This window comes from Homo sapiens, chromosome 14, assembly GCF_000001405.40.
Source record: "Homo sapiens chromosome 14, GRCh38.p14 Primary Assembly".
Classification (NCBI taxonomy): domain Eukaryota; kingdom Metazoa; phylum Chordata; class Mammalia; order Primates; family Hominidae; genus Homo; species Homo sapiens.
This window is the reverse complement of record NC_000014.9, coordinates 101,819,154-101,841,291: the sequence shown is the minus strand read 5'-3', so window position 1 is coordinate 101,841,291 and position 22,138 is coordinate 101,819,154. Positions and strand designations below refer to the sequence as shown.

At 42.8% G+C, this 22,138-nt stretch overlaps 1 protein-coding gene across 29 annotated transcripts in view, besides 6 other annotated features; it reads right to left on the bottom strand.

Annotated features, from left to right (window-relative positions):
* The window catches only part of PPP2R5C (protein phosphatase 2 regulatory subunit B'gamma), a 167,420-nt gene that overhangs the window by 86,701 nt on the left and 58,581 nt on the right, over positions 1-22,138 (bottom strand). For 2 of the 29 annotated variants that reach the window (XM_011536918.2, XM_047431535.1), the window contains exons 1-2: positions 17,411-17,670; positions 17,123-17,278 (exon numbers count right to left, since the gene is read on the bottom strand). The exons of 18 other annotated variants lie outside the window; for them this stretch is intronic. In XM_011536918.2, the coding sequence (XP_011535220.1) occupies positions 17,123-17,168 (46 nt within the window). In that variant the 5' untranslated portion in view covers positions 17,169-17,278; positions 17,411-17,670. Of the gene's footprint in view, positions 1-9,487; positions 9,592-11,461; positions 13,819-17,101; positions 17,279-17,350; positions 17,671-22,138 lie in introns of those variants that run through there. 9 more of the 29 variants (XM_011536920.2, NM_001352916.2, XM_047431536.1 and 6 more) reach the window with 8 other exon arrangements.
* Positions 1,740-1,939: an enhancer, noted in NCBI's record as "active region_9052". NCBI's record gives its function as "activates an Ori minimal core promoter by ATAC-STARR-seq in GM12878 lymphoblastoid cells {active_cell/tissue: GM12878}" and the evidence as "EXISTENCE:reporter gene assay evidence [ECO:0000049][PMID:35858748]".
* Positions 2,190-2,239: an enhancer, noted in NCBI's record as "active region_9051". NCBI's record gives its function as "activates an Ori minimal core promoter by ATAC-STARR-seq in GM12878 lymphoblastoid cells {active_cell/tissue: GM12878}" and the evidence as "EXISTENCE:reporter gene assay evidence [ECO:0000049][PMID:35858748]".
* Positions 8,077-8,577: an enhancer, noted in NCBI's record as "H3K4me1 hESC enhancer chr14:102299052-102299552 (GRCh37/hg19 assembly coordinates)". NCBI's record gives its function as "activates a minimal SCP1, AML or CMV promoter by ChIP-STARR-seq in naive H9 embryonic stem cells {active_cell/tissue: H9 hESC(naive)}" and the evidence as "EXISTENCE:reporter gene assay evidence [ECO:0000049][PMID:30033119]".
* Positions 16,046-16,095: an enhancer, noted in NCBI's record as "active region_9050". NCBI's record gives its function as "activates an Ori minimal core promoter by ATAC-STARR-seq in GM12878 lymphoblastoid cells {active_cell/tissue: GM12878}" and the evidence as "EXISTENCE:reporter gene assay evidence [ECO:0000049][PMID:35858748]".
* Positions 16,156-16,305: an enhancer, noted in NCBI's record as "active region_9049". NCBI's record gives its function as "activates an Ori minimal core promoter by ATAC-STARR-seq in GM12878 lymphoblastoid cells {active_cell/tissue: GM12878}" and the evidence as "EXISTENCE:reporter gene assay evidence [ECO:0000049][PMID:35858748]".
* Positions 20,509-20,768: an enhancer, noted in NCBI's record as "active region_9048". NCBI's record gives its function as "activates an Ori minimal core promoter by ATAC-STARR-seq in GM12878 lymphoblastoid cells {active_cell/tissue: GM12878}" and the evidence as "EXISTENCE:reporter gene assay evidence [ECO:0000049][PMID:35858748]".

The following is a 22,138-nucleotide window of genomic DNA, read 5'->3' as shown; positions in this document are numbered from 1 at the left end:
CTGAATCCTTCATTTAGCAAATATCTGTAAAGCCTCGAAGACAGGAAGCAGCAGTAAAACAAAGGTGTTAAGAACTCAGGCAGAAAGCCCAGCTGGAGTCCCAACTCCACCTCTGACTACCTTAGTGACCCTGGGCAGAAAACGATCTCTTTGGGCCTCAGTTTTCTCAACTGGAAAATGGGAATATTGTCTTTACTGGGGTTGATGTGAATTAAGAGATGTACAGTGCTTAGAAAAATCCCTGAAATATAGCATGTCCTCAATAAATGTTGTTTTTGTTTTTTGTTAATGATGTATCAAGTGACTTACCAGCATCTATAACTCAATCTTGTTACTCTCCTGATGGTAACAGAAGCAACTAATGGAAGCAACCAACGGAAGCAACATTTTCATCCTCTCCAGGCATGTCCAAGCAGGCCTCTAATGCACTGCACTCAGCAACTAAATTTGTACCAAATGAAAGGCGGAATCTCAATTTGACAATGTCTGGTTCTGCATAACACAATTATGCATATGCCCTGATAAACAGCACAGCAATAGTGCTTTGCTGTTCTTGATCTTGTAACAGGGCAGTGCAATAGGAACTACTTAAATGTTGGTTGAAAGAGGCTGAATGAACCCCAAATCCAATTACTACAGATGTACCCACTAGGTCATGGGGGGGCCAATCTGTTTGGTGAGTTCACAAACATCTTAGTATTATCAATCTGTGGCATAACTAGATTTGAATGGAAAAATATCCTTAAAGTTTGATAGGTTATAAAAGACCGGTGGAGTGGAGCTTTTTTTTTTTTTTTTTTTTTTTTTTTGGTGGTGGGGGGAGCAGGTGGTGCTGGAAGCTCACATGGGTAAGAAGATAAAAACCAGAAAGCAGCAAGCGGACGAAAAAGGCAAGAGACGCTGGCTGCTATTAACTAGCCGTGACCAGCTGCTTGACCTTTTTGGGCCTCAGTTTCTACACCTGAAAAATGAGGTTCTTTCTGACTCTTTTGAGACTATGAGAGAATGCTTCTTTCAGGAACTTGAGTGCCAGCAGCAAATCCCAGAGAGGGGGAAAAAATGAAAATACAACAGGGTCTCTAAACAGGAACAGAGAAAAGAATAATGTGATATGTATGTTTTTTAATCCAGGAAAATAAGGTACAAGGTGGGCACTACAAGAAGGACCATATAAAAACCTATAAATGAAATCTTTCGCTCTGTGTATAGTGACCACTGGTCTTTACATGAAACAACTTAGTATTCAATGGCTAATGTGATATGTAAACATGTATAACTTATTTTTGAAGAATTTTCTTTTCAGAAAAATAATACATGCTCACTGTAAAATAGAAAAAAAAAAATCCAAACAACACAGGAAAGGCCAACCCAGAGAGAACACTGCTGGCATCTCCGAGTGTGTGCGGACGAGCGCACCACTGAGAGCCAGGCTTCATGGGCTCCTCTGTTCTCTACCCACACCCCCGTGTCCAGCATGTCTCACATGCCAACAAATAGGTAATGCCATTGTCAACTGTTTGAAATTTCACTGGACATGTGTGCTACGATTCAATAAATCAAGTCAGGGTTCTCATGGTGTTCTTTAAAAGCATTACATCACAAATAATGTTTTACTTTATGATTACAGATGGAGGATGGAATACATTTATCTGAGTCTACTCTCTTCTGAAACCTCACTAAAACGACAGGGAATTTTGTAAAGAGTTTACACTTTCCAGGACATGGGATCACAGGGCCGGAGGGCAGGCAGGGAAGCAGCCAGGCGTGCACTGGTGAAGCCTCACCAGCTCAGGTCAGGGTGTCCACAGGTGCCTGTGGAGTAGGGGCACAGATGGGGAAGAAGAGGACTGGCAGGAAGTCGTCGCAGGCTGTTCTCACAGGCCCTGTGCCACCTGTGGTCACGTAACTTGACTCTGGAAATGAGTGTTCTTTTTTTTTTTTGGAGACAGAGTCTTGCTCCGTTGCCTAGGTTGGAGTGCAGTGGTGCGATCTTGGCTTACTGCAACGTCCGCCTCCCGGGTTCAAGTGATTCTCCTGCCTCAGCCTCCTGAGCAGCTGGGATTACAGGCATGTGCCACCACTCCCGGCTAATTTTGTATTTTTAGCAGAAATGGGATTTCACCATGTTGGCTAGGCTGGTCTCGAACTTCTGACCTCAGATGATCCACCTGCCTCAGCCTCCCAAGTGCTGGGATTACAGGCATGAGCCACCGCACCCGGCTTTTTTTTTTTTTTTCTTTTCTAATTTGAGACAGAGTCTTGCTCTGTCGCCCAGGCTGGAGTTCAGTGGTGCAATCTCGGCTCACTGCAACCTCTGCCTCCCAGGTTCAAGTGATTCTCCTGCCTCAGCCTCCTGAGTAGCTGGGATAACAGGCGCCCACCACCACACCCAGCTAATTTTTGTATTTTTAGTAGAGACGGGGTTTCACCATGTTGGCCAGGCTGGTCTCAAACTCCTGACATCAAGCAATCCGCCTGCCTTGGCCTCCCAGAGTGCTGGGATTACAGGCATGAGCCACCATGCCCAGCCAAAATAGTGAAGATTTATACAACCAAGAAGAAAGGACAACACAACCCTCAAAGGATAGGCTGTGTGCCAGGGGCTGCCTCCTCCTTCCCTGGGGCTCCTCCTTTCTGAGAAGATCATGTGCCTGGGAGGCACAGTGCTTTGCTTTTCACAGCCTCCTGGGGCGAGGGGGACAAGAAGTGAGGCCAGGGCCCTGAAGGTAAAGGAGGGGCTGGGAAGACCGCCTGCTCGTTACAACATATAGAGCATATGAGAGAAATGTGCAGCAAATGTGGCAAAATATTGACAAATGGGTGAAATTTTGATTAAATTCTTTATATCATTCTTGCAACTTTTCCATGCTTTTGAAATTATTTAAGAAAGTTAACAAATAAGCAAACAAACTACAAATCAGGAATGGAAAGTGAATTTTACAAAATGCCATTTTCAGATTCACAAGACGCTTGCATTCACCTTCCTTCGACGATTACTACTTCTTACACGCTATGATTTCTCTCCTTTTTCCACCACACCGGCTCCAGGTCTACTTGTCTTTACTCTCCCCGCTTCATCGCTGTCTGCCCCCTTCCAAAACCTGTTCTTTGGTTTCATTCTCTCTTTTTCTTAGTTGATTCATTTCTGCTTTTGTCTTTAAAGAACACAGTAATTCTTCAACTTACTTTGGTTCTTTGCTACCTCTTTAGTGTTTAAATCACTTCTTTTGATTCTTATTTAATAACAATCTTTACACATTAACTCTAAGCCATTACCTTATCTCATTTTTTCATTAATTTGGAGGCAATGGTGGTTCTGCACATGAGAACACGGCCAAGTCCGACAGCCCAGCCTGAATCTCAGTCTCCCACTTGCCAGCTGTCAATTCTGGGGCAAGTGACTGAGCCTACCCTTCCCATTCCCCCATCTGTGAAATGCGGATGAGGACAGCACCTCCTTCGAACAGGGACTGTGAGGAGTGAGTGACATAATAAATGTACATGCTTAGAATAGTGCTTTCAACATATTTATTAGGATTATTAGCTCTTATTCATTTAATAAGATTTGTTCAGAATCTACTTAGTGCTCGTGTTCTAGAGGTTGGAGATAAAGCTTCCAACAAAGCCCACAGTCCTCGCCTCCATGGAAGTTTTGCTTGAGCGACGAAGCTCTTCTCTGCCCCAAGGGACTCCCAGGGATGCCTGGTTTCCGCCTGTGTGTTTATTTCTATTTTTATTGCATTATAATGTGAGAATAAGGTTTCTAATTATTTCAAATTTTTGGAAATCACATCGGTTTCCTCTGTAAGCTAGTATATATTAAGTTTAAAAACTTATACCATGAGGGTCGGGCACGGTGGCTCACGCCTGTAATCCCAGCACTTTGGGAGGCTGAGGTGGGCGGATCACCTGAGATCGGGAGTTGAGGACTAGCCTGACTGACATGGAGAAACCCCATCTCTACTAAAAAAAAATACAAAATGAGCTGGGCGTGGTGGTGCATGACTGTAATCCCAGCTACTTGGGAGGCTGAGGCAGGAGAATCGCTTGAACCCAAGGGGCGGAGGTTGCGGTGAGCCGAGATCGCACCACTGCACTCCAGCCTGGGCAACAAGAGTGAAACTCCGTCTCAAAAACAAAACAAAACAAAACACAAAACAAAAAAAAACTTATAAAATGAGCATTTGTTTTCCAGCCATCAAACCTGAAAGTCTCTACTGGCTCACAGTAATAACAACTTATGTCTACCACATGACCTGTGAGGGGCCAAGAAGTCCAGGCGCCTCTCCCACCAGCACTGCACTCACTGATTTTGTCTTTAATCCCCTACAGTTCTCGCTTTATGTGTTTCAATGTTCAATCATTTAGGCCAAATTCATGGTAGTTATATCATCCTATGGACTGTACGCTTTAGCGTGATGAATAACCCTGTTTCATTATTGTTTTGTCTTCACAATTTAGCTTTGCCCAGCATTGACGTCATGACCCTTGCTTTTCTACTGCATCTGCCCGACATATACCTTTACTCTCCATTTCTTTTTAATACTCTTTTATATATTACCTATCTCTTCTTAGGATTTAAAGCCAAAGTTAGAAGATCCATGTGTGTTTAATTTGTTACTTAGAGTAACCCATCTATAAAGGTAAATGTAACTGAAATTATAGAAATAATCTTTAAGCTTTGCTAGCCTAGAAAAATGCATGCAACACCCCAGGCATTTAAAGTAGAGATATTATATTTAAAGAAATTTATTTTGTCTAAACAATATTTTGAAAAAGAACTATCTGCAGATCCTGGCATGAGACATAAGTTTCCAAAATAACAGAATGACTCATTTACAATACAAAACCAGCTACGACAGTGTGTGTGATTCTAGCAGCTCTGATTTTAGGCTAAGGTTGGCAGGTCGGGAGTAGAGGCAGAAGGGCAGGGGAGAAGGCTGGCAGGTCGGGAGTAGAGGAAGAAGGGCAGGGGAGAAGGCTGGCAGCTCCGTCCATGCTTTGGGGGCCGCGGGGTTCTCCATGGGTTTGCTCTCCCTGCTGCTCCGTAGGCGGCCACAGCTGAAGGTCAGGGACTTCCAACCTCAGCTCAGCTGAAACCCTGCCCAGCTTCACAGCCTCAACTGCAAAAAAAAAAACCTTTCAGCTGCTAGGAAATCTCAGTTTCTTATTTATTGTTGCTTGTGGATTGAGGAATTTCCTTAAGTAATTAAAAAAATTTAATTTCCCATTGTATTTTATCTTACTAGTGTTTCCTACTATTTTCACTTTTAATTCTTTTAAGGAATACTAATAGTTCATCATTATTGGGTATTTTCTACATGCTGGTAATATATTACTGTAACTTTTCCCAGCCCACTAATCCTAGTAAGAACACACAGAGGGGCTACCATCATCCCCATTAGATAGACAAGGACAGAGGTCTACAGAGAGGTTAAGGCGACGCTCAGATGGGACCGTGCTGATGCCTGAGCCCAGGCAGGGCAGCTCGGAGCACCTGGTGATCTGCAAGGGCAAGAGGCACCCCGTGAGGGGACGGCTGTGCAGGCGGCGTGGTCCCACACATGCTACTGGTCCCTTACAGGGAGAAGAGTGGTCTCACCGTTCCTGCTCAAGATGAAGACTGTGTCTGTCCCCCGGGAGACCTCAGATGCCTTAACAAGAATATTACTTCTAAGACCTTTAAATTCCTCAATGGAAAAAGCCCGTGAATTGAAATCAATGGTTCCTAATACAAATTTGACATGGGCCAGGTTTCCCATTAGCCAGTATTACAGATGACAAGTGGGAAGGAGCCCTCTGAACAAACGTCTGGGACACTACCTTAACTGCAAGTCTGACTTGATAACATGATCACCAACCAAATACCTGAATCATCAACATTCCCCTCTACTGAGTTCTCTTGAGCACTCAGCTGACTGTAAACTGTGATCCCAGGTGGAAGTCACTGTGGAGTTTAGGCCACGTCAGTTCCTCGGTGTAATGCACCTCCCAGCTCTGTGCCAACACCCTGCCCTGGGCTTCCCTTATCCCAATTCATCCTGCTCCCCCAGCCACAGGACAGCACCACATCTTTGCTTCCTTGGATGGCCCCAGCTGAGCAGCCCATGCTCCCACCGCCATGAGGAGCAGCCCAGTGTCCAGCCTACCAATTCTGGGGTTGCTGGACAGTCGGCTGTGCTGGAATCAGAGACTCCCAGTCCCTGAAGACACAGGCTGCATTTTTTTTTTCCTTACTGTGAATGTGCTTTGAATACACTCCTAAAAAGTAAACAAAACAAAACAAAACACTTCTCCAAGCCACTGGCAAGTAGGCTTGACCCTGCCAAGTAGGTGGAGCAAAGCTAAAGTCTGGCCAGACCTTCTAACCTTCTTCTGAGGCTCTGTGGCCACAGGCCCACCAGCGAGCTGGATATAATCAAGTACCAAGTCAATCTCTGAGATTTGAGGACTTTTTCTCACAGCTTTTTGGCAAAGTCATCTTGGGAGAGGAAAGAGTAGAGGTAGTCAATTAGAGTTGATTTCTGATTTTCCCAGCATGTAATAAAGATCCCCTCCTCTCATCCCCATCCAGACTCCTGATAACCAAATTAATATCTTAATAAATCCTCAGTATGAATGTCCCCAAGCGACTTGACAGGCCTGGGGCTTTAAGCATGCATTCTATGACCTCATAATTTAAAGAGATTTGGAGGCCAGGGCTGGCAACGCACCAGTGAAGTTTCACCCACCAGACACTGAATCTGGGAGGAGAATTTCTCCTTGAGCCATTTCTGCTGGAACAGCTGCCTGATCACAAGAGGAAAATGCCTCCTTAGATTAACTTGCTGGTGGCCTTGTGAGATACCTCAGCAGCCGTACTGAGACGCCACATCAAGGGACCATCTTTAGTTCCATTTTTTGAGAAGACTTTTTGTTTGGCTTGAAGAGGGTCCCCCTGAAGCTGACCCTCAGTGCTGCCGTCACTGCTGCAACCTCAGCACCTCCATGGCCTGCATGTGCAGACAGGAGAACCGGACCCAGTCAAGGTCCCACCAGTTCTGCAGACAAGGGTCTGGAGTCCAAGTAACCACACAGCACACCCTGCTCAAATTCTCAGGGTGACTCTTCACATGGGATATAATCTGTCTTGAATGGATCACATTTGCCACCCAGAGGAAGAGACAATGTCAAAACTGATTCAGGCCGGGTGTGGTGGCTGACGCTTGTAATCCCAGCACTTTGGGAGGCTGAGGCAGGTGGATCACTTGAGGTCAGGAGTTTTGAGACCAGCCTGGCCAACACGGTGAAACCCCATCTCTACAAAAATACAAAAATTAGCCGAGCGTGGTGGCAGGTGGCGGGTGCCTGTAATCCCAGCTACATGGGAGGCTGTGGCAGGAGAATCACTTGAACCCTGGAGGCAGAGGTTGCAGTGAGCTGAGATCGCGCCACTGCACTCCAGCCTGGGTGACAGAGCGAGACTCCGTCTTAAAAACAAAAAATGCCAAAAAAACCCTTGGATTGAATAAAGCTGGGAAGTGAAAACCCCTAGTCATGTTAGGGAATTTCACATGGCCTGTTACCATAATGCCTTGAGAAAACAGTTTTGGAACAGTGAACTGACTCAGCAATTCATCTGGCTGGGGGTGGTGGAAGTCAAGTTTAGGTCCATGTGCTGCTCCCTCATACTGTGTCCTCTCAATGAAATGCATCCTTTACAAAATCGCAAGGGGGTGTGTCTTTGGGGCCAGACAATGAGAGCAAAAAATGAAGGGAAAATTAAGAACAATGGTTTACCCAAGGTGGTGGTTTCTGAAGAATGATCAAACCATATAATTAAACCAATCATTTTAGGTAACTGTGTGATCCTCTAACAACTTCTGCCAAACTTGGAGAGTCTAGGAATCTTTGGTAACCCTATCTTCTTCAAACATTTGACCAATCAGAGCTGGCCAAGACATATCAGGCAAGACTCCTCATTACCAGAACGGCTGGGAAGCTCCACCTCGAATTAAAACCCTGACACCGGCCATGTGAACAGCAGCACCAGTGACCTCTGGCCACGGCTGGCCGAGGGGCGGACCTAGGCGCCCATGTTTTTCCTGGACCACACTCCAGGGCGGCTTGGCGTGAGAGTAAACAACTTGATCAAGGACAAAGTTTTGACCAAGTCAAAGTTTTCCTCCTGAAAACTGAAGCTACTGACGACTTCTCACTAGACGGAACATGGGAAGAATCAGGCAGATCTAATCACTGCCAGTGTGGACATGACTGATTCCAGCACGTTTCAGATGCTGTGCCTAGTGTTCACACTGCAACCTCCCTGACTATCCACAACTGTCCTGTGAGAGAGAAACTGTTATCACTCCCATTTTCCAAATGAAGAACAGCCACTCAACAGTTCAATACTTGCTGGAGGTCCCACAACTGCTAACTGTATTATGTTACTGAGTAAATGCAGAAGAGCATGCAGAGAAATTACACGGTAAAGCGCGGGGAAGAAGGGGCATGACACGCAAAGACTGGGAGTGGCGGGGTGGATGAGGACACAGAGGGGTCACTCACGCTGCTGGAGTCTGGACCCTTCTGCCTCCACAGTCCCGCTCCACCCTGCTCCTCTGTGTGGAGTCCCTCTGTGACTGTGCCTTAAAAACACTTGTCTTCATCTATGCAAGCCCAAGTGTGTCTCCACTGCTTGTAACCCAAGAAAGAGATGGGAAGGTGTCTTCGGAACAGATTCCCCAGGTGGAACCCAGAGTCGCCCACCCTGGGGTTTCCCGTACTTCAGTCCTGCATGAACACCTTCAAGATCGTCACAAATCTGTGTACAGTCAGGCTCTTATTTACTTGGTATTTTGCTTTAAATGGATACACTTTTTACTAAGCCCTGTCCTAAGCAATAATAACCCAAGAAACCATGGATTTGATGTGCTAATTATATATTTTCACATTCATCAATATATAATTATTAAAGTAAAATAATACTCAACTCTGAATCACTTAAAATAACTGCCGTTAGCAGTGGTGTGCACTTGCCACACTTGGAGGAATCCTGGGCTATCTATCCCACAGTACGAAGAAAGAAGATAACAAGAAATCCTCTATTTGGCCTACACTGTAGATTTCTATGTTGACTATTATTGCTGAACAAATCTCCAATGATTACCTGAATGAGGAGCAAGAAAATCACTTTACCTCTGTTGTTCTGTTCTGCTCCTTTTCATTATGAGGACATACAGACCACTTGCTCTCAGCCTTTGCTGATCCCCTGCTAGTCTTTGGTTCTACAAATGCAATACTATTTAGAAGCTCAGGGTTAGAATCTTTCCATGGTTCCAAGGCTATCCATGGGTTCTTTTTTAAGTTTTGCCTTCAAAGCTGTATCATAATATTGCTGCTTAAATAACAATGTCTTTGGACAAGTTAAACTCAACTTTAAAGCCAATGTAAGTAACAGACTACAGTGGTCCATGTTGGGGATTGCTTCTAGGACCACCACGCTTACCCAAATCCACGCATATTCAAGTCCCACAGTCGGCCCGCAGAACCCGTGCGTATGAAAAGTTGGCCCTCTGTATACATAGGTCTCGAATCTTGTGCATTTGCAATCTGCATTTGGTTGAAAAAAATCCACATATAAGTGGACCTGTGCAGTTCAAACTTGTGACGTTCAAGGGTCAACTGTAATTCTTGTACTTATTTAAGGAATGTACTATGATAAGGAGTTGTGTCCCATCTTACAACTCAGACAGGATGATAAGCATCTTCCTTTATGCATCTGCAATGGTTTTAGTACCACAAACTGGAAGGAAGCTTAAAAAGATGCTATGCCCACTGGCCCATTAGTAGCGTAAAAAAAATTTCTGAAACTGTTGAATAGCTCCATTCAAAAGCTGAACTAGTCCTCCTAACTGGCTTCTAGTTATTTTGTTTCCTTTAATAGCCTGTTGCACATGTTTTAATAGTTTAAGCCTTATCAAATTCTTTTCTGGATGTAGCCAAAAATAAACATAATGTCATATATAAATATAAGCATGTTTTATACATTAAGATATCCATGCCAACATATCACAGATAACATATTAAGAAGGGTCATATTTCATTTATGGTAAAACAAGTGCAAATAAAAAAATAAACAAAACTCAGCACACCTCTTTTCTCCCCAGGTGTGGAGTGAGGTGCCCTTCTGCTGGGCTCTGTTAATGTCCCCATGTAGCTGCCAGCCCTGCACATGCCACACGATGTTGTCATTTGCACATGGGTTGTTAGTCTATAATTTTCCACCAGCTATAACAGGATCAGACACAAAAGTGCTCGGAAGTATTTGCTGAATGAAGAAACTTACAATAAAGCTCCAATACCTGCAAATGCTGCCGTGACGGTAACTTACTTATCACTCTAACTGAAGGCAATCTTTGCATCCTCTCACCCGCTTAGTGACACTTCCATTTTACTTTAAATTATACATATTTGTGTTCTCTTAGACTGCAAGCTCCCCGAGGGCTGGCAGGCTCTATTGCTGCTTCTCTGTATTCCTTGCTGGATGAAACTGAATTTTCTATTTACATCTTTAAACCCCAGTATCTTATATTTGACCCAACTTAACAGAAGCTGCAGGTTTCTTTTAATGGAATGACATGTTTATATTAATTGTAACTAAGTACCACTGCTAGAGTGGTACTTAAAATGATCCAGATACACTTCAGGATGAGTGTTTAGAGCAGAGTCAGAAGCCCGCCTCAGGATTCATTCAGGTGCAGGCTGTGGACCTGCTGTCCAAAGCACGTCCAATCCAGGGCCCCACCTCGGGTGGATTTTCTGTTGCTCTGATTTATGCTGATTTGGGCCAACACTTGGCTGTCCTCAGCCTCAAAGCAGGACTGAATCGGGTCACAACCACCAAGGGCACAATGTAGCATTTGTTTACAGTTCTGAATGGATCATCCTTTGTTAATGTAAGTGAAACTCTGTGTCTTGTCTGGAGACAGCAGTGTAGAGTTCCCAAGTTCTACTTGTGATAATCAAAGGTTTCAGTGAAACAAAACTTCATATGGGCTGTAAAACATGAGTTGGTAACAGGAACCCGAATTAATGAACTTGGAAATTCTCACTCTCCTATGGATTAGAACATATTTGTCTTGAAAAATGAATGGGAGAACAATTTGGCATTTCTAGGAATTATTTAGATCTACCTTGAATATAGATGCTTTTCTTTACAAAATGGTATTGTACACACTCTGAGGGTTCAGAAAATACCATTCACGTCCTAATCTCGTTTCTGGCTCTTACTAGGCAGGAAAGCTAAGCAACAACTTGGGTCACAGAGGACCAAATAGAAACAAGTTTTGAAAAAAAATTTTTTTTTTTGCCACTATGGACACTAAAACCAGTGTTCGGTCCCTAGGAGTGAACATTTCAATACTGCGAAAAAAGAAAAATACGACAGCGACACAACAACCAAAGTGAGACTAAGCAGCACCTTTGAAGACACTCAATTTGAAGGCACTGCGTAAGGATGAGCTGGGGGCAGGGAGGCCACCATGTGGAGCTGGATGTCTGATTGCGGGCACCTCACGTTGCCTGCTCCCGCTGTAATCAGGGTCCATGCATGGAAAACTGTCTAAACACCGACCAAACACACACACAAACACAGAGGCAAGGTTAAGAGGAAAAATCGTCTTCCTCAAAACAATATCCAGCCTTATGGAATATTATAAGAGGTCTCAATGCTCAGTTAAAAGTAAAGCACGATCAGTGTTTTAACTGAAGTTAAGGCAACAAGCTCAATTACTTCAGGAAACTAAGAAACCTGTGTTCAGGCTGCCCAGAACCCCAAGTCCAGGTGGGGCCCGTAGCCCAGCACTTCCCTGATGTAGGTTCCTTCTGCTTGGCCTTCTTGCCTGGTAAGACCTATAAATGAAATCAGGAAATGAATGGTAGCTGGAGATTGAAGAAGGAAGCAGGAGAGGGAGAGAAAAGAGTTAAAAAGATGTTGTACTCAGAACTCATAGTAAGGATTCTTACAAACTTACACATAATACAGGATGCTTTTTCTTTTCTCTTCCTTTCCTTTCTCTTTCTTGGAGGAATGGAGAAGGGGAAGGCAAGCCCCATGCTCCTATTTCAAGGTTAGAACCCCACAGAGAGAACCCCACTAACTTCAGCCTGTGTTGACCAGAGTTCCACTAAATACCAGGAACACGCCAACCAGACTCAGCAATAAAAGAAACACGATTCAGATTTATCCTGAGGATATTTTCACGACTTCAACTTTCCACTGTGAAAAGTTGGAAAACATAGTTTTTGAGGTAAGAAAAAGAATATCTTTTGAGGCTGGGCACGGTGGCTTGCGCCTGTACTCTCAGCACTTTGAGAAGCCGAGGCGGGTGGATCACTTGAGGCCAGGAATTTGAGAACAGCCTGGCCAGCATAATGAAACCCCGTCTCTATTAAAAATACAAAAAATTAACCAGGCATGGTAGCACACGCCTGTAGTCTCAGTTGCTCGGGAGGCTGAGGTAAGAGAATTGCTTGAACCCAGGAGGCGGAGGTTGCAGTGAGCCGAGATCGTGTCACTGTACTCCAGCCTGGGAGGCAGAGTGAGACACTGTCTAAAAAAAAAAAAAAAAAAAAGAGTATCTGTGAATTTCAGTTAAGTGTTAATTAAATCTTTCTGCTTGTCCCAAAGCAGAAAGTTTATTTACCTAATCAGCTTCTAATGATCATACTTAGAAACAGAAATTAATAATAGGTATGTTCTTTGTGTATATGTATTTGTGTGTGTGTACAAGCATACAGAGTATCCTTGCCTTGATGTATATCCTCTGAATACGACACTCCCCCTACACCTTCAGGTCTTCTTATATATCATTATATCACTGAATAAAATGGGCTTTTCAAAAAAATGGAAAATTCATATAACATACAATGAACCACTTCAAGTACACTTCAGGGGCATTTAGTGCATTTACAATGTTGTGCAATCAGCCCTCTGTCGAGTTTCAAACCTTTTTCATGATCCTAGAAGAACTCCCCATCCCTGTAAGTAACTACTCCCCCTTCCTCCCTCCCCGCAGCCCCTGGCAACCTCTAATCTGCTTTCTGTCTCTATGGATTTGCCTATTCTGGACATTTTACATGAAAAGAATAAAAAAATGGGCTTTGAGGTTACATAAATCATTTGCAATATTATGTGGTAACTACAAATGTAAACAAGGTAAAAATCTGGGATTTGTGGTCTAAACTGAAATTGTAGAGTTAGAATTTCACAGACTAGGAACATTTCATAAAGAATCCTGAGGACTGACACTGGGCTATCATCCTAACATACAAATAAGATCAGTAAAAAAAAGATCCTACAAAAAAGACATTTTAATACCCAAAAAGACAGTATCTCACTTCCAATATGAGGTTATAGGGAACAAGAAGACAATTTCAGAATAAAAGATAGTCCTGTACATGGAATAAATTTAGCTTAATGGAAAACTCACATGACATCACCCTTATTTTCGCCTTTGACAGGTAAGTCCTGTCAAAGAGCAGCACAGGTGTCTGGGGTGCCCTCCTTAGCACACCTGAGCCTGCACTTATGGCCGAGAACTGATTTCCCAAAACGAGATAATTTAGGAAAATAATGGATTTCATCCTGTAAAAGTTCAATCTTTTTGACGACCAAAATTGACAAGATCCAAATCTATTTTAAGAATCAGCAGAAAATGGTAGAAGCTTCGCGAGAGAAAGCAACAGCTGTGAGTCAGGTGAGGCCATCTTGCCCAGTGCAGATGGCAGCAGATCAGTGTTGTCTCTGCCCATTAGTTCTCCTCTGCTGGCTGTGGTCTGGAGAGGTCAGAGGGCAGACAGTTAAGGAAACAAGATTTATAAATCTAAGAACTCCAGCAGGCAGGTTTCTCCCTAACTTGGCCTTTTATGCTGGGGTATGCATTCTGGAGGGTGCATAAAGCCACAGGATAAATGATAAATGCAATATACATCCTAGAATATCAGTTTTCCATGCAGCTGAAAAATGTTAAACAAGGCTGGGTGTAGTGGCTCAAGCCTGTAATCCCAGCACTTTGGGAGGTCAAGGCGGGCAGATCACTTCAGGTCAGGAGTTTGAGACCAGCCTGGCCAAGATGGCGGAACTCTGTGTCTACTAAAAATACAAAAATTAGCAGGGTGTGGTGGCACACACCTGTAATCCTAGATACTCGGGAGGCTGAGACACAAGAATCGCTTGAACCTGGGAGGCAGAGGCTGCAGTGAGCCGAGATCACCCCACTGCACTCCAGCCTGGGCGACAGAGCAAGACTCCGTCTCAAAAAAAAAAAAAAAAAAAAAAAAGTTAAACATTTTTACACTTAAGTATAATAATCATGAAACAGAATACTAAATTCAAATAGCTTTTTACAATACAACCAGGGATTTCAGAAACTTAAACATTTTAGGGGTTCCTTATGGACCATTTCAGACTAAGTGCCCAGATGCCCACAGGTTCTCTGCTCACAGTCAGAGCAGCTACTGGGCAGATTCCAGGGAGCACTGTCCTAGTCCTAGTCTAACTGATTCTAACCCAGGAAAGGCTACAGAATTAGAAGAAAGAGACAAGGAACATTGCTAAGCTGATCCTAAAATTCATATGGAAACACACATATCATTACATCATTGAATAAAATGGACCCAATATACCAAAAGGGACCCAAAATACCAAAACAATTTTGAAAAAAAGAACAAAGTAGGAGAGTTCACACTTCCTGATTTTAAAGCTTACAACAGAGCTACAGTAATCAAGACAGTGTGGTACAGACATAAGGACAGACATACAGACCAATGGAATAGAGAATCCAGAAATAAACCCTTTTATGGTCCATTGACTTTCAACAAGTGTGCCAAATCCATTCAATGAGGGAAATAATTGTTTTTTCAACAAATGGTTCTGGGAAAACTGGATATTCACATGCAAATAAAGGAAGTTGGACCCTTACCTCACACCCTATATAAAAACTAACATGAAATGGAACAAAGACCAAATGTAAGAGAATTCATATTAAAAAACTCTTAGAAGAATGTGTAAGAGTAAGTCTGGATTCAACAATGGTTTCATAGCTATGACACCATAAGCATAGGAGACAGAAAACAAATCAAGATAAACTGGTCTTCCTCTAAATTAAAAACGTGTGCTGCAAATGATACCATCAAGACAGTGAAAAAGACAACCCACAGTATGAGAAAAATATCTGCAAAACATATATATGATAAAGGCTTGGTTCTCGGAGTACATAAAGACTTTGCTGTGACAGCTGTGATAGCCACATCTGACCATGCCCTCTGGGCCACCTCCTATTCTCACCGATCCTTGGTCAGTTCCCTCTTCATTCTTCATGCTTGTCACTTATTGTTCCCCCTCAATTCTCTAGAGGCCTCCTCTCTTGGACCACCAGAAAAACCAAAGCCATGAGGTCCTACCTTCCCCAACTTCCTTCTTAAATTTCCCTTACTGCCCCAGAAGTTTCTGATAATCCCCTCTGCTGAAGATGACACTGAACATTTTGGTTTTCAGCAGATCTGGTTTTGACAGCTTTACCATTCACCTACAAAAACTGAACAGGCTAACTACACAGTGAGAATATCTGAAATACAACAAAACTGGTTCATTCAACTAAATGAAATGCCAACATGAAAGTTCAGTGAAACCTGAATGATGGAATTGGAGTGACACCCTGGCTAGGAGGTGGAGTGGTGACTGACCTGCACAGTTCCGCCTGCATGCTGTGTTCTGTTGCCCTCATCGATGAGCGTGTGCACCCCAAATAGGCTGGGCAAAAGCTGGGAGCGTGCACTCTACGATAAGGACTAGGAAAGCTACCTTTTGGCCAAGTCTCAAATCTTAAACCCATGATCTTGGCCTTTCAAAACTGTTCTAGCCAGTTAAGTGGCTAAAATCATAGCAGTAACTTCTAAGACACAGAAAGATAGCAATGCCCGGATTCCATTATCAGTATATGTCTCCCACTTTTAATGCTATGCCTTCTTTACATTTTTTTAATAAGTAATAAATTCATCAACACACACACACACACACACACACACACACACACACACGCTGAAAACCCTCTTATCCTATCCCTCTGCCAAAAGTATCACTTTCAGTTTCTTCTGTATCTCTTGAGTTTCATCCTGGAACCAAAACAAATTTATTCTTAGCCCAACTTCCCCTTGTGTAGTGACGAAGATGGCGTGAGAAGCCACTGCTGCGTCTTGCCTTCCACTTAACTGCTCTCGGCTGCTCTCCTTTCATCAGTCATAAAGGGATGCTACTTACACCCTTTTGACATACACCCTTTTCCAGGAATTTTCTCACCACAGTGCAACAACCACCCCCAACACATACCCCAACAGGCTGAATCATCCCATCTTCCCAACTGCATCCCAGGACCACCAATTAGTTCATTAAACTTCAGCTAACACACTGCTTCTCCTGGGAGGCCTTGCTGGGCCCCACAGGGCCTGCTCCCTCCTCCTGAAGCCAGCGCAGACACGCACCCACAGCACCTATAACACGACCAGTTCTTAGCACTAAGCACAGAGCCAACCACCAAGTGGGTGATTTCTAAATATTAGTGAGTGAGTGAAATACAGCTTTAGGTGGACATAGGGCAGAAAGTCAAAACTAAATTTGTTCTCTTCTGTGTTAGGTATCATGTTGTCCTTCCATTTGAAATGAACTCAGAAATTTTTTTCGTCTTAATTTTAACCTTGTTTGGCCCAACAAAGGACACAGGGTTACCAACACTTAACTTAGCAACAGCACATATGCTGAATCAAAAGCAAAGAATGAGGAAGGAAATCTTTGCAGAGCTTTATTAAAATCAGGAACATGCGTGCATAGGTTTTTTTTTCACTACATTGTAAACATCACTTCAATTGTACACATCAAGAAATATTTCTTGATGCTTTCCTACTGTTTCCCCGTAGACAAATGTCTACACTAAAACAGAGCCAGTTTTCAGATGAATACCTCTCTCTCCTACCCCGCAAGAACTTCATGCTATATCATTACGAATAAAAAGAATATATCTAATTTTGTACTAAATCCTAAGAATTACTCATTAAGAATCTTTACCAATAGTAAGTTTACGTTTACCACGAAAATACTCTTGCCAGCTATGTCTAAAATGCAGCTTGAACATGAATCTCTCGGGATGTGCGAGCTCCGAAAATCAAGTGGAAAGTCAGTCCTGGAGTCTGTTCCTTCAACAGGAGCTCTGGGGCTGTGCCACGGAACAAGTGGGCACTGTGCCTAGTGAGACAATGTAAGGCTCAGATAAGTTAATTTCATCCATAACCACAAACCCTAAAAGTACAACCTTACCTTCGTGACCCAGAATCTGCATCTCTTGTTTTTCTAGATGACACCATAAGATCAACTAACCTGGTTTCAGCTGCACTGCACTCTACACCACTGTAAAAAGCTGAGAGCAGAAAGTACCGTGTAGATAGATCCCTGTGATAAAGAAACCTGCAAGAGCAGGCTCAGTGCATGCTCAGAGAGGGGTGAGCCCAGAACCGTGAGTCAGAAAACCCAAGTGCTGGTCCGGTATCTGGTCTCTGTCACCAGCTCCTTCTTGGACCTCAGACAAGTTGGAGAACCTCTCTGCTTCAGTTTCCACCGCTGTCAAAGTAGGACTAATCATACTTGTTTACTCTCTCACAGGAAAGAGGGCGACGGTTAATGAACCCTTTTGCGAGGAGCTTTGAAGATGAAAAAGGTTCCAGGGTGCTAATGACAAACAATAACAGCCTCTCTATTCTCATTTGGGTATCTATCATGCTGTGGGGGAGAGGGTACCGAATTACTCCGAGTAAACTGGTCTTCTAGGATTCTTGTTCTTAGGGCTAAACTATTTTGAAAAACCCTAGAAGAGATGAATGATGGTAATGCTTGGAATACCGGATAATACAAAATAAATCAAACATTGGCGGCTGATGCTTTAATTTCACTGCTCTGAACTGCTCGGCCCGGGTTCTGCAGCACTGCTTGCTGGCATAAATATTTACATCGGCAGCGTGTCTTAGTTACTATGGATGCCATAGCTAAGGCTATTAGCTTGGCTGATAGGTCCCCATTTCCTGCCAAAGAACTCTTTACCAAACATGCTTCTTAAACTTTGCTTTATTTTTAATAAACATTTAAATGTCAAGTAGTGTTCAAAATCGTTTTAGGGGTTCCAAGTTTAGTTTACATTTCACTTAAAGGCTCTCCTCCTTTTTACAAATAAAGGGTGAAAAGGCTCAAATAAGCAAATGTCTCAGCCCGTATGTTACACTATACAAGGCTATAAGACTGAACTGGTTTTTGTAAGTTGATGTTTGGTTTTACATAAACACATGGGTGCATATACACACACGGCCCACCAAAAGATATTTTTCCAATCTATGTAGGCAGTATAATTTATGTTCATTTAATTGGATAATAATTCCAACTCACACAAAAATGTGAAAATTCAAGATTAATATTTTGAAAGTTAACATTTAAATGACGCATAAGATTTAGAAGTAAAAAAATGCAGAATTCATATCCACTGATATTAGACTATTTGAATGAGAAAAGTCAGTCCCCAGAAGTTTATATGTCTTCAAAAGGCCAGTTTCAATACCTGATAGCCTCAGCCAGGATATAAATGAGAAAATAAGAATGGGGTTCTTAAGGGAAGGAAGTCGGGAAGAGAGGAAGGATAAGTAAAAAAATTTCCCAAAATCACAACTTTAACTTTGGCTTAAATTTAAATGTTGTTTAAGAGTAAGTCATAAAAACACATCAACATAACATCATTTGTGACTGTGTAAAAAGAAAAAGTATCTGAATTGGTTAGATTCTTTTAAAAAACCCTACCCATTGGATAGTCATTTAAGTTTTCTCCTGGCAGAGCATTTCTCTTAACTAAGAATAATATAAAAGGAGAAATGTGTTCATTCTCGTTCGTGTTTTTCTCTTTGGGGGATTAGATCGGAACGCCAATCACAGAATTCTTCCAATTCCCTCTAAAATAAGTAATTTAATCAGATGCATTTTTAATGTAACTTATTTGGAGATTCAGGAAAGTAAGGTGACTTAATCAAGAAGCTCAGTAACTAGTGACACTATTAGGCCTTAACCCTGGCTCTGATAGCGCCAGATTCCTGTATGATTTGATGTAATAATTTAGCAAGGGATGTGTGTGTGTGGGGGGGGGGCAGGGGGTGGTGGTGGTGGGGTCACTACATTAATAAGACCTCAACGTTTTCAACATCTAGTAAAATACTCTTAAAAGCGTCAATGATGTTCTCTAAAGGGAAACATCTCCTCAGGACCAGGTCCAATAATTGAGAAACAAAATTCCACATTTCCAGCAGCTTGGTGAAGCATAAGTGACCTCTGTTCTAAAATCAGACAACATGGTTTCACTCTGGCCCGGTCATCACACCTGTAAAATTAGCCTAGAGCACCTATGCACAGGCTGCGGGGGCCGAGTGTCTGTGACAGCTCCACCTTCCACTTGCCGCCACCTCCTAGATGCCTAGTCTGAAAGTTTAAGCCAAATTCACAGAAAAACATGCGAGACCACATTAAGCATTTACGTAACGTATGTATACACAGTACAATACAGGATAATATGACGTAACACCAACTCAGAGCATTATGAACCGAGAGCGCCACCAAGATCCTAAAAACGTATAAAAGGTTTTTGTTACTAAAACTGCTCTCATGTCAATTTTTTAAAGAAATGAAACAAAAAATGCTATATACTCTGTGAATAAATACATATTTATATTATTTATGTGGATAAATACACACACACACACACACACACACACACACACCCACCCACCCACCCCCCACAGGGAGAAAATGGTCTGGAATGACACACAGCAAACTCCAGGCAGCAGTCACTTTGAGATGTGGGGATGGTAGACCAATCTCAGGGGATAAGGTTAGGGAAAATTTCAGTTTTATTTGCAATGAAGAAAAAATGTAAATGGGGCCGTATTCACATATTAATTGATTACTTGAAAATGGCTTTTAAAAAAAGATTTGAAAAACAAAGAAGGAAACTGACCAAGGCAAGAGGAAGGCTCAGGGTTAGGTGGGCTCCGGATGCTCTCAGCTCTCATGGTCCCAGAGACCAGTTTAGATGATTCCACTGACTACTTAATTTTTTTTTATTTTTATTTTTATTTTATTTTTTTTTTTAGAGAAAAGAGGGAAAAAACCAAGGAGGCTTGGTAAAAACAGGGTCAGGGTCACATCCAGCCCATTCGAGAAAAACTTCCAAGTCCACGTGTTTTCCATTTTTTTGGTGTCAAGACCTATTTACATTCTTAGAAAGTATGGAGAACCCTAAAGAGCTTTGATTATGGGGGTTATATCCATTGATACTGACCATACTTGAAAATTTTAAAAATATTTACTTATTCATTAAATTAGCAATAGGTTCACTTCATGTTAAGTAATATTTTATGAAAATAACCTTATTTTCAAAAAGAAACCAGCGAGAAAATGGCCATGTTGTACATTTTTGCATGTATCTTCAATACTCAACAGAAGACAGGCGGATCTGCCGACATGCTTCTGTGTTCAACTTGCTGTGATATGCTATTCTGGTTCAAGTATATGTAAAGAAACACCCCAGGCTCAGACAGACACGTCTGGTGGGAAAAGGGAGGTTTCAATGCTTCTCAAAAAATTGCCGATGTTCTTCTTTGCCTATGCTAAAATTCAACAAGTGATAGTTCCTTAAAGATTAGTTGCAATGAGGAATCTGAAACCATGTTGATGAACCTGTCAGTTACATGAACACCCGGCAGTGTGTCTTACACTTTGGTGGCTCTTCACCCACGCTTGTTTGTAGCATCGTTCGTTGGTCACTGAGAACACACTGCTGCATGTGGTGTGTGACCTTCCACCGTATACATCAAGAAACCCCACTTGCTAATGTCACCACCCCTCTCAGCAGAAGAGTCTGTGGCACTGGGAGCTGCCACATTTACACTGGCAGATAAAAGTTCTCCAAAGTTCAAATTTTTCTTGAAAGCTCAAATTTTACCATGGGCCAAAAACAGTGTCGCAGTTGTTTTCCCCTCAATTGATAAGCTCACTTCATAGATTTTCTAGAAAATATCAGCCAAATATTTAAGTCTTAATATCCACAGTTTGTCTGCTTTTTGTTCTGTCAAGTAAAAATGATTTTACATTACTATTCTCATAATTTAAAGTTCCTGGAAAAAGTGGCTATTTTGGCTCATAACTCACACATCACATGGGCGCTTTTCTTCGAGACGGCCATCACACTCCAGCATGCTAGAACGGCTTCATGTGAACTCTGCATTTCGTCACGCAAAATTAAAAAGGAGGCTGGGTGCGGTGGCTCACGCCTCTAATCCCAGCACTCTGGGAGGCCAAAGCAGGAGGATCATTTGAGCCCAGGGGTTTGAGACCAGCCTGAGCAACCCAGTGAGACCCCAGCTCTACCAAAACAACAACAACAAAAAACCACGCTGGGTGTGGTGGTGCTTGCCTGTAGTCCCAGCTACACAGGATGCTGCGGTGGGCGGAATGCTCGAGCTGGGGAGGTTGAGGCTGCAGTGAGCTGTGATTGCGCCATTGCACTCCAGCCTGAGCAACCAAAAAACCAAACAAAAACAAACCCAAACAAAAACAAAACTAAAAACAAACCCAAACAAAAACAAAACTAAAAACAAACCCAAACAAAAACAAAATTAAAAAGGTATACAAAAGAGTTGAGACTTAAAAAACCAGTAACTTCATGCTTTATCGAGGACATTCTTGGGTCAGACTGGTGTGTTGCTAGCTGAACACCGCTGTCCTGCTCGATGAAAGAAAGGCGCCATATTCCTCACCATTGCCTTTGCACCACCAGGGCAAACGTCCACACAGTGAGAGGTAAATTAGATCTTGGTAATCTTATGAGGCAGTGACGGCCTTGCAAACCCCCTGGAAAGCAGCTCTGTGACCCCAGGGGCCACAGGCTGCCCAGGGTGAACACTGCTCCATGCAAAGGCTTCAGAGTTCCAAGAGAGCGATTATCAAGTGCTACCCCCCTTTGAGAAGTCTGACCAATTACATAAAGCTGGGAAAAAAACCAAAACCGACAACCCATTC